We start from the raw sequence: 15,392 nt of genomic DNA on the forward strand, positions 1-15,392 counted from the left end.
CAGAGTGAGACGCTGTCTCAAAAATAAATAAATAAATAAATAAAAAATACTAGGGTCTTATTCATTCTTTCTAACTAATTTTTTGTGCCCATTAACCATCCTTATCTCCCCTTTACCCTTCCCAGCCTCTGGTAACCATCCTTCTACTCTCTATCTCCATGAGTTCAATTTCAACCATTTTTTTTGAAGCAAGGTCTCCCGATGTTTCCCACACTGGAGTATGGTGGTCAATAATGACTCAGCAGTCTTGAACTCCAGGGCTCATGCAGTCATTCTGCCTTTGCCTCCCAAGTAATGGCTACACGCATGTGCCACCAGGCCTGGCATCCATTTTTTCTTACGTGTCCAGTTCAGTACTGTTAAGTATATTCACACTGTTTTGCAACCATCATCACTATCCATCTCTAGAACTTTTTCATCTTGTAAAACTCTGTACCCATTAAATACTAACTCCCCAATTCTCCCTTTCCCCATCCCCAGGCACCCACCATTCTACTTTGTCTCTATGAATTCAACTACTCAGGTACCTCACATAAGTAGAATCACACAGTATGTGTCTTGTGACTGGCTTATTTCACCTGGCATAAATATAAAAAAAAAGTTCTCAAGGTTCACCCATGTTGTGGCATGTGACAGAGTTTCCTTTTTTAAAAACATTTTCAATTTTTTTTTAAAGATTAGTCAAATGCAGTAGTGAGAAGGGAGGAAAGAGTAGAATAAGGAGTTAGACCTGTAACTGAACAATCGATATAACTCACTACCTTCGGACCAGCCTTCCTTCCTTTGTAAGGCTGAGTAATATTCCATTGTATGGAGAGACCACATTTTGCTTATCCATTCATCTGGCCATGAACACTCTGATGGCTTCAGCTCTTGCCCATTGTGAAGGGCACTGGGGCAGTGCGATTTCTAATTTTTGGAGGAATCTCCACACTGTTTTCTACAGCAGCTGCACCATTTTACGTTCCCACCAACAGTGCACAAGGTTTCCAATTTTCCACACAGTCATCTCATCTTTAATAGGGATAACAGTAACTACTGCACCTAGAAGTGCCATGTATTAATACTATTAGTAGCATCCCGCTGACTTATTGTTTAGTTTATGTCTCCTCCTATAAGAATGTCAACTCCCAAGGACAGGGTTCTTCCTTGTCTGGTTCATTATTAAATTCCCAGCACCAAGAACCGTGACTAGCACATAGTGGGAACTCAGAGATATCTGCTGAATTATCAGACTACTCAGAACACAGGCTTTTCACAAAAGGTGCTCCAGAGATGAGATGTATGTTTATTAGCTCTTTGCAATTAAAAGAGCTATTTCATTCATTTTCACGGTCTTCGTGAATTCCTGAAAATATATCCCAGCACTATCCGTTGTTGCATGGTATAGAAAAGAGTTTGGGGAAAGGAGGAACCTCCAACACCATTTTAGGAAGATTTCCACAATTTTGTGTCAATCTTAAAGTCAAGAGGGCTTTAATAACGTTGGTGCCTATCTACAACAACGACGGCTCTGATTCCATTCTTTGCAATACAATCTCAATCCCAGTAAAGTGTCCCCATGGTTTTTTGTTTGTTTGTTTGTTTGGTTTTGTTTTGCCGTTGTCTTTAATTACCCAATTTGAAAAATTTAATCTCCTTGGCCTTCAACCCCCAGGGGCCTTGAGAACCAATGGTCTAGGGAAGCACAGTTCCTAAGTGTGACTATCTCACAGCTTTGGTGCTCTCTTCGGGTGTCTGAAGACACAATCTCATGCACTTTCCTAGATTCCTCAGTTAATTCAAGATTACACCCAAGCAGAAGATTAACACTGTTCCTTGGAAGCCAGCAAGGCAGGAACCCATCACAGGGGCCCAGCCCAGAAGACAGCCCATTCTGTCTGGATGTTCTCTCTGCCCACCAGGAGAACTTGGCTCCATGAAGTTTCAGTGCTTCTCAGCCACATAACGCATCAGAGCACAGGAGTTATTCTCAGCATCCTTTTAGGAAGGCTCATGGAGTGCAGGGAAAGCAGTGTCACAGACTCCCCTGACCTTGTAAGAGGAACTAGAGCTTCTCAGAAGACATATTTTGATTCAAAGTTTTTATAGGGCCCATCTTGGACCACACAAATAAGAGAAAAACAGGTCCAAAAGTTAAAGTACACTGACACCTCCAGCTCTGAAATGTCTAAAAAGTAAGATGGATGGATGGATCGATGAGAGACGGATAAACGGCCATGTGATAAAGCACACACAGTGAAAGGTTAATCGTGGAGCCTAGGTGGGGGGTTTACACCTAAGCCACTGTATAGCCTTTCAACGTTTTTGTGTACTTGAAATTTTTCATACTAAAATGTTGAAAAGTATTTTGAAAATTCAAAACATAAGAAATAAATTTTAAAAGCCTTGACTATTAGAGAACTCTACAGATTTCTAAATGATTTTAATGGCATTTTCCCTTAATTTTGTGTATAAGGAATGCTTTAAAAATTACTACTTTTATTTTCTCTTCAAATATTACTAAGTATTCCTAAATAACCTACAGCATCTGGCTCTTCAAAACCATACAAACTGGTGCTTTTTCCAAAGAGAAGTGTCATTTTCAGCCCTGGAGTTCCCCACTATGAGAGCTGGTACCTAAGAGGGCCACATTCCACCTGGCCTAGGAATGACCTCAGAACAAAACAAACTGAGCATACTCTCACCAAACCATACAAAACAAAATTTTTAATAAGCAAAAATAACTTGCTAGTTCAAGAGACAAGTAGAGCCTGTAAGATGTGTTGTTTCCTTCTCATCTAACCTAAAGGACACATGCGATTGACAAGATTTCCCACGGTAATATCAAAGTACCAACTATGATAAAAACTGATGCCAAAGCGAATATTCGCTCTGTGAAAGGCTGTGGCTCCTCGCAACCACAGGCAAAGAGCTGCCTAGTCATACTCTTAGTATAGAGACAATAGTATTTTCTTATCTTGATTTTGATTGGCTTGAAAAAAAAGAGTAAGGTTATTTTGGTAAATTTTTAAAAAGACAAAAATTTAAACAGAACCCACCTTACACAAAACTACAGAGTTATTTGTGTGTGAAGAAAATGGGATAGGATGCCCTCTCTTCCTCTGAGAATTCTGTTACTTCAAGTGTTCTGAAAGAGTACTGGTTGGATTTTAAAACGCCACTCCACAACATGGAGCACATGAGAGTTGACAAGGAAAATCGCAGCTGAGTAACACCAGAAAGTTCTTCCTGATTATTCCCCCTGCTCTAGTGACCCAAGAGCAGAAGATGCTCCACGGTTCAGGGGCACTTGATAGTCCCAAAACGTACAGATAATTTCCCTAAAGACAAATGAGGACAGGCCAGGTGCGGTGGCTCACGCCTGTAATCCCAGAACTTTGGGATGCCGAGGCGGGCGGATCACGAGGTCAGGAGATCAAGACCATCCTGGCTAACACAGTGAAACCCCATCTCTACTAAAAATACAAAAAATTAGCCGGGTGTGGTGGTGGGCACCTGTAGTCCCAGCTAGTCGGGAGGCTGAGGCAGGAGAATGGCGTGAACCCAGGAGGCGGAGCTTGCAGTGAGCCGAGATCGCGCCACCGCACTCCAGCCTGGGCGACAGAGCAAGTCTCCATCTCAAAAAAAAAAAAAAAAAAGACAAATAAGGACAAAAAGGGTGGGCTAGAAAAACATTTTTTAATAGGTGAAAACTTCTTCTCAAACTTGGCAAAAAACATAAGCCTATGAATTCAAGAGGCTAAACAAACTTGAAACAGGATAAACCCAGAGACCTATGCCAAGACACATGATACACATTCTTCTGAAAGAGAAAAATGTTTGAAACCAACCAGGGAAAATAACACCTTACCTATAGAGGAGAAAGATAATTCAAATGACAATGGGCTTCTCATCAAAACCACAATGGCCAGAGGAAGTAGCAAAACATTCTTCAAGTGAAGAAAGAACTGTCAACCCTGAATTCTATATCTGGTGAAGTTATCCTTTGGGAATGAAAGGGAAATTGAGACATTCTTAAATAAAGGAAAACGAAAACAACTTGTCACCAGTAGACCTACCCTAAAAGAATGGCTAGCGGGAGTTCTCTAACTAGAAGGGAAATGATCAAAGAAGTCATCTTGAAATATTAGAAAACAATAACAAAAGAAACAGTAAAAATATGTGTAAGTATAAAAAACTTTCCTTCTCCTCTTGGGTTTTCTCAATCACGTTTCACGGTTGAGGCAAAAACTAACACCATCTGATGTAGTTCTCAATATATATGGAAGAAATATGTAAGATTACAAATTGGAGACAGTGAGGGACACAGAGGGAGGTAAGGGTTCTACATTTCATTTGAACTGGTAAAGTGACACCCCCAGTAGATGGTAATTATATAAAAATATATATTACTTATTATACATACATATATACATATATGCAAACATACACCTAGAGCAACCATTTAAAAAGCTATACAAAGAGATATACTCAATCAAAAACATAGAGGCCAGGTGCAGTGGCTCATACCTGTAATGCTAGCACTTTGGGAGGCTGAGGTGGGTGGATTACCTGAGCTCAGGAGTTTGAGACCAGCCTTGTCAACACCGCAAGACCCCATCTCTACAAAAAAAATCAAAAAATTAGCCGGGTGTGGTGACGCACACCTATGGTCCCAGCTACACAGGAGGCTGAGGTGGGAGGATTACTTGAGCCTGGGAGGCAGAGGTTGCAGTCAGCCAAGATCACACTACTGCACTCCAATCTGGGTGACAGGGTGAGACCCCATCTCAAAAAAATGTGTGTATGTGTATATACACACATACACATACATACACACACATATGTCAAACTGGAATTCTAAAAAATCTTCAAGTAACTCACAGGAAAAAGAAAACAAAAAGCTGAACAGGAAAAAAAAAAAAAAAAGAAATGGCAGACTTAAGCCCTAATATAATCGATAATGACTTTTTTTTTTTGGTGTGACTGAGTCTCACTCTATCACCCAGGCTGGAGTGCAGTGGCATTATCTCCGCTCACTGCAACCTCTGCCTCCCAGGTTCAAGTGATTCTCCTGCCTCAGCCTCCCAAGTAGCTGGGATTACAGGCGTGTGCCACCACACCCAGCTAATTTTTCTATTTTTAGTAGAGACAGGGTTTCACCATGTTGGCCAGGCTGGTCTCGAACTCCTAACCTCAGGTGATCCCACCAGCCTCGGCCTCCCAAAGTGCCAAGATTACGGGCATGAACCACTGCTCCTGGCCAATAATCATCTTAAATGTAAAAGGTCTAAATATAAATGTTAAATATTAAAAGATTGGCAGAGTAGAATTTAAAAATTATACATGACCCACCTAGATGCTGTCTACAAAAAACTCACTTCAAATACACGTATTTTATATTCGAATATATTGGCTGAAGTAAAAGGATGAAAAAGATATCATGCAAACATTAATAAAAAGAAAGCAGGTGTGGCTATATTAATAAAACAGCTACAGTAAACTTCAGAGCAAAGAAAACTACCAGAGACAGATACTATATAATGATCCATCAAAAAGACATAGCAATTCTAAATGTATATGCACCAAACAAAGCTGCAAAATATGTGATTCCAGCAACAACAGAGCTGAGAGATATCAACAATTATAGTCAGAGAATTCAATGCCTTTCTCTCTTGTTAATAATTAATGAACCAAAGAATCAGCAAGTATAGAGAAGAACTCACCACCACCATCAACCAACAAAGTCTCAGAAAGATTATAGAACACTCCCACCAACAGCATAATATTCATGTTTTTCAAGACCCCACAGAAAATTGTAGTAGGCTGAATCATTGACCCCCAAAGATATCCAGGTCCTAATCTCTAGAACTTGTGAATGTTAACTTACATGACAAAAGGAACTCTGCAAATAGAATTAAGAATTTTAGATTAAAAAAAAAATAGATGGAGAGCGAGGCATGGTGGCTCATGCCTGTAATCCCAACACTTTGGAAGGCCGAGGTGGGCAGATCACTTGAGCTCTGGAGTTCAAGTCCAGCCTGGGCAACATGACAAAACCTCATCTCTATGAAAAATACAAAAATTAGCCAGGTATGGTGGTGTGCACCTGTAGTTCCAGCTATTCAGGAGGCTGAGGTGGGAGACTTGAGCCGGGGAGGTGGGAGGTTGCAGTGAGCCGAGATCACACCACACTCCAGCCTGGGCAACAGAGCCAGACCCTATCTCAAAAAGAAAAGAAAAAGCATCTTCAATGGAGATGATTATCCTGGATTATCCAGGGGATCTAAATGCAATAAAAAATGTCCATATAAGAAGAAAGCACAGGAGATGTGACACAGAAGAAGGCAACGTGATGACTGAAGCAGGATGCCAGGCTGCTGGGTTTGAAGATGGAGAGAGGGGTCATGGACAAGGAAATGCAGCTCTAGATGCTGGGAAAGGGAAGAAAATGCATTCTCTCCTCCAGATGGAGCACGGCCCATTGGACACCTTCATTTTGGCCCAGTGAAGCTGATTTCAGACTTCTTACTTCTAGAACAGTACAAGAATAAATGTGTGCTATTTTAAGGCACAAAATGTGTGGTAACTTATTACAACAGCCTCGGGAAACAAATACAGAACTAGGGTGCAGCTATAACAAATACCTAAAAATGTGGAACCAGCTTTCAAATTGTAAGGGACAGAGGCTGGAATAATTTTGAAGATGACGATACAGAAAGCCTAGATTGCCTTAAACAGATCACAGAAATGTGGATGTTAAAAACTGTGCCACTTGCCAGGCACGGTGGCTCATGTCTGTAATCCTAGCACTTTGGGAGGCCGAGGCGGGCAGGTCACGAGGTCAGGAGATCGAGACCATCCTGGCCAACATGGCGAAACTCCATCTCTACTAAAAATACAGAAATTAGCTGGGCGTGGTGGCGCACACCTGTAGTCCCAGCTACTTGGGAGGCTGAGGCAGGAGAATCGCTTGAACCCGGGAGGCGGAGGTTGCAGTGAGCCGACACTGTGCCACTGTACTCCAGGCTGGCAACGGGGAGAGACTCCGTCTCAAAAAAAAAAAAAAAAAAAAAAAACTGCCACTGAGGACTCAGGAGAAGTGAGGAGCAGAGTACAGAAAGTCTGTATCATCTTAGAGAATACCTACATCTTCATAAGCACACCGTTGGTAGAAAAATGGACATTAAATGTACTGCTGGTAGGACTCAAAGAAATGAGCCACCTCTTTTTGGAAACTATTATATACTAGCAGAAAACATAGCTGAATTATCTCCTACAACTGTGTGAAAAGCAGAACGTGTAAGTGATGAACTTGGATATTTAATTGAGGCATTTTCCAAGCAGAGTGTTAAAGGTGCAACCTGGTTTCTTCTTGCGCTTATAGTAAAATGCAGAAGAGAGAAATTAAGAGAAACTATTATGCAAAAAGGAACCAGGGCTTAATTTGGGAAATTCTGAGCCTGCATGGATTGCAAAAGACAATAAAATTAGGAGATTCACTGGCAGGAAAAAGTGCTCTAAGGAAAGACAAGGGTGTGGCTGGCCAATGTTTTGCTAGTATGCTGGAAGAATTAAAAGGTGAGAGTATCCATTCACACAGAAAGCTCTTTGAAGAGATTTAAGCCTGTCACTCATGAATCCCCTCAACCCTCTCAGCAAAAGCCAGGAATAGAAACAGAACCGCACAGGTAAGATCTATGGAGGGCCCTCTTGTCCCCTGTGAAATCCCTGTGAAATACAGAGGAGACCCACAAGGTTTTTGAGGATGTTCAAAAAGTAGAAACTCCACTAGCTTGGAATGAAAAAGACTCATTCCTATCAAATTTCCAGTAAGTTTTTTTTTAAGAGATAGCAAAGACCATTCTCAAATTTATAATGGCAAGTCAAAGGAATCAGAATAGCTGGAACAATTTTGAAAAAAAGACAAATTGGAGGAATTATTCTCCTCAATTTCAAGGCTTACATAACTATATTATTCAAGACTGTGGTGTTGGCAGAGGGATAGACACACAGATGAATGGAACAGAAGAGAGAACTCAGAAGAGCCCACACTCAGAGCCAAGTGACTGGGACTACAGGCATGCACCACCACACCCAGCTAATTTTTGTATTTTTTTTTTGGTAGAGACGGGGTTTCACCATGTTTGAGACCACAGTCTGGTCTCAAACTCCTGACCTCAAGTGATCTGCCCGCCTCGGCCTCCCAAAGTGCTGGGATTACAGGGGTGAGCCACCGCGCCTGGCCTAGCCAAGTGATTTTTGACAAAGGTGTAAAAGCGGTCCAATGCAGAACAGATATTCTTTTCAATAAATATTGCTGCAGCAATTGGCTATTCATAGGCAAAAGAATGAAACTTGACCTAAACCTCATATTTTATACAAAATTAACTCAAAGTAGACCATAAGTTTAAATGTAAAACTATAAAACTTTAAAAGAAAACATGAGAAAAATCTTTGAGAGCGAAGGCTTAGTAATGACTGAGAATCCACAAACGTGACTGAGAATCCATAAAAGAAAAAAATAATAAATTGGACATCAAAATTAAAAACTTTTGCTCTGCAAAGCATTAAAAGGATGAAGAGAAGCTACAGACTGGGAGAAAGTCTCGAAACATCCTGTCTCAAAAAAAAAAAAAAAAAAAAACCAAAGGCTGGCAAAGATGTGGACAATCTGGATCTTTCATACATTGCTGGTGGGAACATAAAATGTTATAGCCCTCCGGAAAACAATTTGGCATTTTCTTATAAAACTAAACATACACAGCCGGGCGCGGTGGCTCACACCTGTAATCCCAGCACTTTGGGAGGCCGAGGCAGGTGGAATGCCTGAGCTCAGGAGTTCGAGACCAGCCTGGGCAACACGGTGAAACCCCATCTCTACTAAAATACAAAAAATTAGCCAGGCGTGGTGGCGGGCACCTGTAGTCCCAGCCAATTGGGAGGCAGTGGCAGGAGAATTGCTTGAACACGGGAGGCAAAGGTTGAAGTAAGTCGAGATCGCGCCACTGCACTCCAGCCTAGGCGACAGAGTGAGACCCCTTCTCCAAAAAAAAAACTAAACATACACTTACCATGTGATCCAGCAATATCACCTGAGAAATTTATTTATTCCAGAGAAATTAAAATGTATGCCCACACAAAAACCTGAACATGAATGTTCACAGCAACTTTACTCGTAATATCCTAAGACTGGAAACAACCAAAGTTCTACAATAGGTGGATGGAGAAATAAACTGTGATATATATCCATACCATGGAATATTATCTAGCAATAAAAGTGAATGAACTATTGATACACACAACAGCCTGGTTGGATTGTAAGGGCATTAAGCTGAATTTTTAAAAACCCAGAAACAACCCCAGTCTGAAAAGGTTACATATTATATAATTTGATGTATGTGACATTTCAAAATGATAACATCTCAGAGGTGGAAAATGGATTAGTCATTGTTTGGGGTTTAGGGTGGTTGAGGAGAAGACAACTGGGGTAGTAGGAGGGAGCCTGATAACTTTGTGGTGATGGAACAGTTCTGTATCTTGATTGCAGCGGTGGCTACATCAATCTACGCATGGGTGATGACACAAAACTATACAAACACCTCATACCAATGTCAGCTTCCTGATTTTGATACTGTATTGCAGTTACATAAGATGTAACCAGTGTGAGGAAATGAGTGAAGGGCAAGTGGAACCTTTATGTACTGTTATCTTTGCAACTTTCTGTGAATCTACAAATTAGTTCAAAATGAAGTTAAAAAAAAATTAGGCCAGGCATGGTGGCTCACGCCTGTAACCTCAATACTCAGGGAGAGTGAGGTGGGAGGACAGCTCTACAAAAAATAAAAAGGAAATTAGCCAGACATAGTGAGGCGTGTCTGTGGTCCCAGCTACTGGGAAGGCTGAAGTGGGAGGATCATTTGAAGCCTAGAATCCGAGGCTGCAGTGAGCTATGATGGTGCCACTGCACTCCAGCATGGGTAACAGAGCAAGACGCTGTCAAAAAAACAAAAACAAAAAAAACTAAAAAACAGTCTTTATATTGCATAAGGTAAGGAAAAACCAGATGTTTCCTATACCCTCGTGACCAGACAGAAGGACTTACACATCTGACCTCCAGTCATACAGGTCCTGGCAGCCATTCCAGGGAAAAGCAGCAGGACAGAGCAGAGTATGTGGCAAAGAGCTTTGGTCCCTCCTGCCAGGGTGCCCTTCACAGCCTCTGAGTGAGATGTGATCAAGGTGCTAATGAAAAAGCAGCCAGACTTCCAAAGGCAGAGATGTCAAGGGACATCACGGAAGGAAGATTAGGGCTTAGTCATTTTAAAATGTGATACCAAATGAGCACCTGTCGATAATGCCTAACTCTGTCTCTGTTCTCAAGGCAAGTGCCTCGTGTTCCCCCCCATATCCCTGTCACAGTGATGACACCTGCTGAAGAGAGGAGTCATTAACATTTTAACATACAGAGAAGAATCCCAGGCAAATGTTACTCTCAACTGCTGAGTCTTAAAACTGAATCAATTTTGGCTGGGTGCCTGTAATCCCAGCACTCGGGGAGGCCAAGATGGGTGGATCACAAGTTCAGGAGATGGAGACCATCCTGGTTAATACAGTGAAACCCCGTCTCTACTAAAAATATAAAAACATTAGCCGGGCGTGGTGGCGGGCACCTGTAGTCCCAGCTACTCGGGAGGCTGAGGTGGGAGAATGGCATGAACCAGGGAGGCAGAGGTTGCGGTGAGCTGAGATCGCGCCACTGCACTCCAGCCTGGGCAACAGAGTGAGACTCCGTTTCAAAAAAAAAAAAACAAAACCCAAAAAAGCAAAAAAAAAACTGAACCAATTTTATATAACCATTATACATTATTATAAAGTGTTCCACATTTTCAGGTGACGGTTAACTCTTATTTGACAAAACAGCTAATATGACAAAAGAACATTTTAAAAGGCAGTTTCAAACAACACTCCAGTTGGCCTGCTCATAATAGTCAATCAATCAATAATTAATAAATGTAAAGTGAACTAAACACTTGCTGGCAGCCTTTACTGACAGGTAATTTTTTCCTTCATTATTTGAAGCAAATAAAAATGAATAAGGATGCTTCACTTCTCCTCTTAAATGCAGATGCGGTCTGGCATGTGAGAAGCGCCTCTGCCTGGCTGCCCTTCGTCTGGGAGGCGAGGAGCGCCTCTGCCCGGCCGCCCCGTCTGGGAGGTGGGGGGCGCCTCTGCCCGGCCGCCCCATCTGGGAGGTGAGGAGCGCCTCGGCCCGGCCGCCCCATCTGGGAACTGAGGAGCGCCTGTGCCAGGCCGCCCCGTCTGGGAAGTGAGGAGCGCCTCTGCCAGGCCGCCCCGTCTGGGAAGTGTACCCAACAGCTCTGAAGAGACAGTGACCATCAAGAACGGGCCATGATGACGATGGCGGTTTTGTCGAAAAGAAAAGGGGGAAATGTGGGGAAAAGAAAGAGAGATCAGATTGTTACTGTGTCTGTGTAGAAAGAAGTTGACATAGGAGACATCATTTTGTTCTGTACTAAGAAAAATTATTCTGCCTTGGGATGCTGTTAATCTATAACCTTACCCCCAACCCCGTGCTCTCTGAAACATGTGCTGTGTCAACTCAGGGTTAAATGGATTAAGAGCAGTGCAAGATGTGCTTTGTTACACAGATGCTAGAAGGCAGCATGCTCGTTAAGAGTCATCACCACTCCCTAATCTCAAGTACCCAGGGACACAAACACTGCTGAAGGCCGAAGGGACCTCTGCCTAGGAAAACTAGAGACTTTTGTTCACGTGTTTATCTGCTGACCTTCTCTCCACTATTATCCTATGACCCTGCCACATCCCCCTCTCTGAGAAACACCCAAGAATGATCAATAAATACTAAAAAAAAAAAAAAAAAAAAAAAAAAAAAATGGAGATGCAGTATTTATGCCCAGATTAATTCTCCAGAATTGCAAGACAGATCATGTACACAACTACAGCAGTCAAATCATACAACCCTATGAATGATGCTAATACTGTCTTTTCTGCTTCCACATATATAATCCTTACTGATTCACAACTGTTATCCTATTCACATATTTTTCCATTGCACAAAAAGCAAAAACACGTCTTCACACAGAAAAAAAGCAAATGAGAAGGTGGACTCAAACTCTTGGACTCAAGCGATCCCCCTGCCTCAGCCTCCTGAGTAGCTGGGACTACAGGTATCCACCACCATGCCTGGTTAATTCTGCTTCTTAAACAAAGACAAAGATGACCTGAATGCTATTAAGAGCCTTGAGTCAGTAGGTATACATGGAATATGTACACAGTCCCTGAAGCGCTATTAACAAAGTGTGACACTGCTGCAAAAATAGGTAAAAAAAAAAAAAAAAAAAGATTGATGGAACCGACTATAGAGCCTAAAAACAAAACCATATATTATTAAAAGTATTTAAAACAAGTCTCTTCAACAAATGGTGCTGGGACAACTGGACATCCGCATGCAAAAGAATGAGGGTCTAGACCCCTACCTTATGCCATATACAAAAATTAACTCAAAATGAGTGAATGACCTAGCATAAGAGCTAAAACTAGGATGGCTATACTTTAAAAAACATACTAACAAGTGTTGGCAAGGATGTAAGGAAATTTAACCATCATACATTGCTGGCGTGAATGGAAAATGGTTCCATTTTTGTCGCTGTGGAATACAATTTAGTGGCTCCCCAGAAAATTAAACATAGAACCACTAGTAATTCTACTTCTACGTATATACCCAAAGAGCTGAAAACAGGTATCCAAACAAGTATGTGTACACGAATGTTCATAGCAGCATGATTTACAATAGCCAGAAGGTGGAAACAAACCAAATGTCCATCAATGGATGAATGGATAACACTTGTAGTATTTCCTGACACTGGGATATTCAGATAAGAATAAACTATGGATATGTTATAACATACATGAAACCTGAAAACGTTATGTGAAGTAAAGGAAGTCAGATGCAAAAGACCACATACTGCTTGATTCTATTTATGTTAAATATCAGAAAGGGCAAATCTATAGAGACAGAAACCACATTAGCCAGTGGCTGGCGCTGGGGTAAGGACTGACTGCAAACAGGAGTGAGGGATCTGTTAGGGGTGAAGAAATGTTCTAAAATTAGATCAGGTGATGGCTGTAATTCCAAAACAAATTATAAACAAATTATTAATCTATCATTATTGAATGTCTATTATTAATAAAGCCTGAAATTAAGACAGTACAATATTATATATATCATATTGTCCAAAGACATGTAAATATTTACTATCACATATCCAATGAATTGTGCATAGAAATTGTTCTGGATACAAAGGTCAAGGTATGGGATAAACTGTTAAGATAGAGCCTACATTAAGATGAAGGAAAAAAAATTTTTTTTTTTTTTTTGAGACAGAGTTTCACTCTTGTTGCCCAGGCTGGAGTGCAATGGCACGATCTCGGCTCACCACAACCTCTACCTCCCGGGTTCAAGCGATTCACCTGCCTCAGCCTCCCAAGTAGTTGGGATTACAGGCATGAACCACCATGCTAGGCTAATTTTTTGTGTTTTTTAGTAGAGTCAGGGTTTCTCCATGTTGGTCAGGCTGGTCTCGAACACCCGACCTCAGGTGATCCACCCACCTTGGCCTCTCAAAGTGCTGGGATTACAGGTATGAGCCACCGAGCATGGCCTGAAAATATATATTTTTTTGAAGAATTTTTTTTTTTTTTTGGAAATGGAGTTCCACTCTTGTCGCCCAGGCTGCAGTGCAAAGGTGCAATCTCAGCTCACTGCAACCTCCGCCTCCTGGGTTCAAGCGGTTCTCCTGCCTCAGGCTCCTGAGTAGCTGAGATTACAGGCGTGTGTCACCACACCCAGCTAATTTTTGTATTTTTAGTAGAGAAGGGGTTTCACCATGTTGGCCAGACTGGTCTTGAACTCCTGACCTTGGGAGCTCAAGACCACAACGCCTCAGCCTTCCAAAGTGCTGGGATTACAGGTGTGAGCCACCACACACAGCCTGAAATTTTTTTAAAAACAAACAAAAAAATTTTTGTCTTTAAACAAAGAGAACCCAATGTGAAACATTCATCCCTAGGTGGCCGAGAACATAAACCCATGTCCCTAGCTTAGCAAACCCTACATCAAGGAATGTGTTTTTTAAAAAAATTAAAAATAAAAAGCAATGCATCTGTGATTGGCTTCCTTTTAAAACTGAAGGGCTCTGAGAGGTCTCCCTAAAGATCCAGACGTCCTCCTGTACACACACATCCACACCCACAAACAATATTCCCTGCAATGCTTTGATTAGAAAGCACTGGAGATACTTCCTCATTCCTTGCTGGGAAGCCTGAACCACATCTCTGTCTTCTGCAGATTGGATACAGCTGTAGAACATCTGGCATTCCATTTCCCATTCACAAACATCTAAAAGGTGGAACACTTGAGGAATTTAATGTTTAGATGAGGGTGGGGAGGTGGGAGAGTGCTATTTTAGGGCGAGGCAGGCAAGCTGGAGTAGAATCCATCTGCTTTTTATCTCACAGTCCAGGAAAGAAGGTGAAGCTGGCAGTCTTGGCTGAAGCCCCAGTGAGGATTCTTCCAGCCACTCCATGGCTAATGCCCTGATTAACTTTTTAGTTAAGTTACTTCCCAACATTTCAACCCGTGTTGTGAGTATTTGTATTCCCAACTCTGACTCTCAGTCAGCATCTCAAAGTAAAGCAACACAACATCTCAAAGGCTGTAAGAACTTGAAGGTTCCTATGCAGCAGAACCTGAGCAAGGAAGGATGGCATTTTTAAAGTCCTAGAGACTGGTTTAAGAGGAAAGGGGGCCGGGCGCGGTGGCTCATGCCTGTAATCCTAGCACTTTGGGAGGCCAAGGTGGGCGGATCACGAGGTCAGGAGATCGAGACCATCCTGGCTAACACGGTGAAACCCCGTCTCTACTAAAAATACAAAAAATTAGCCAGGCGTGGTGGCGGGCACCTGTAGTCCCAGCTACTCAGGAGGCTGAGGCAGAAGAACGGTGTGAACCCGGGAGGCGGAGCTTGCAGTGAGCTGAGATCGCGCCACTGCACTCCAGCCTGGGCAACAGAGCAAGACTCTGTCTAAAAAAAAAAAAAAAAAAGTGGAAAGGGCTGGCACATGGTGTGCCCGCTCTCTTGACAAACCCATGAAATGATAGAAGAGGCTTTTTAAAGAATAAAAAATCACCAACAGCCCAGAGATGCTGAAATCACTACAAAAAAAGAAAGCAGATAGGAACAGATTGATGGAAAAATTATATTCAAAGAAAAACACATGCAGAAGATGGTTGTAAAGTTAGCATTTTGAAGGAATTTTAAGCCTCAAGTCAGTGGATATAATAAGTGCAAATGGTTTAAAAAAAA

General features: G+C 41.9%; 1 protein-coding gene across 3 annotated transcripts in view, besides 1 other annotated feature; it reads right to left on the reverse strand.

Annotated features, from left to right (window-relative positions):
- CYTH3 (cytohesin 3) overlaps positions 1-15,392 on the reverse strand; it is a 110,846-nt gene that overhangs the window by 50,188 nt on the left and 45,266 nt on the right. The gene's annotated exons all lie outside the window — the stretch shown is intronic.
- Positions 11,308-11,928: an enhancer, noted in NCBI's record as "NANOG-H3K27ac-H3K4me1 hESC enhancer chr7:6262905-6263525 (GRCh37/hg19 assembly coordinates)". NCBI's record gives its function as "activates a minimal SCP1, AML or CMV promoter by ChIP-STARR-seq in naive H9 embryonic stem cells {active_cell/tissue: H9 hESC(naive)}" and the evidence as "EXISTENCE:reporter gene assay evidence [ECO:0000049][PMID:30033119]".

The sequence above is a fragment of the Homo sapiens genome, chromosome 7, assembly GCF_000001405.40.
Source record: "Homo sapiens chromosome 7, GRCh38.p14 Primary Assembly".
Taxonomy (NCBI): domain Eukaryota; kingdom Metazoa; phylum Chordata; class Mammalia; order Primates; family Hominidae; genus Homo; species Homo sapiens.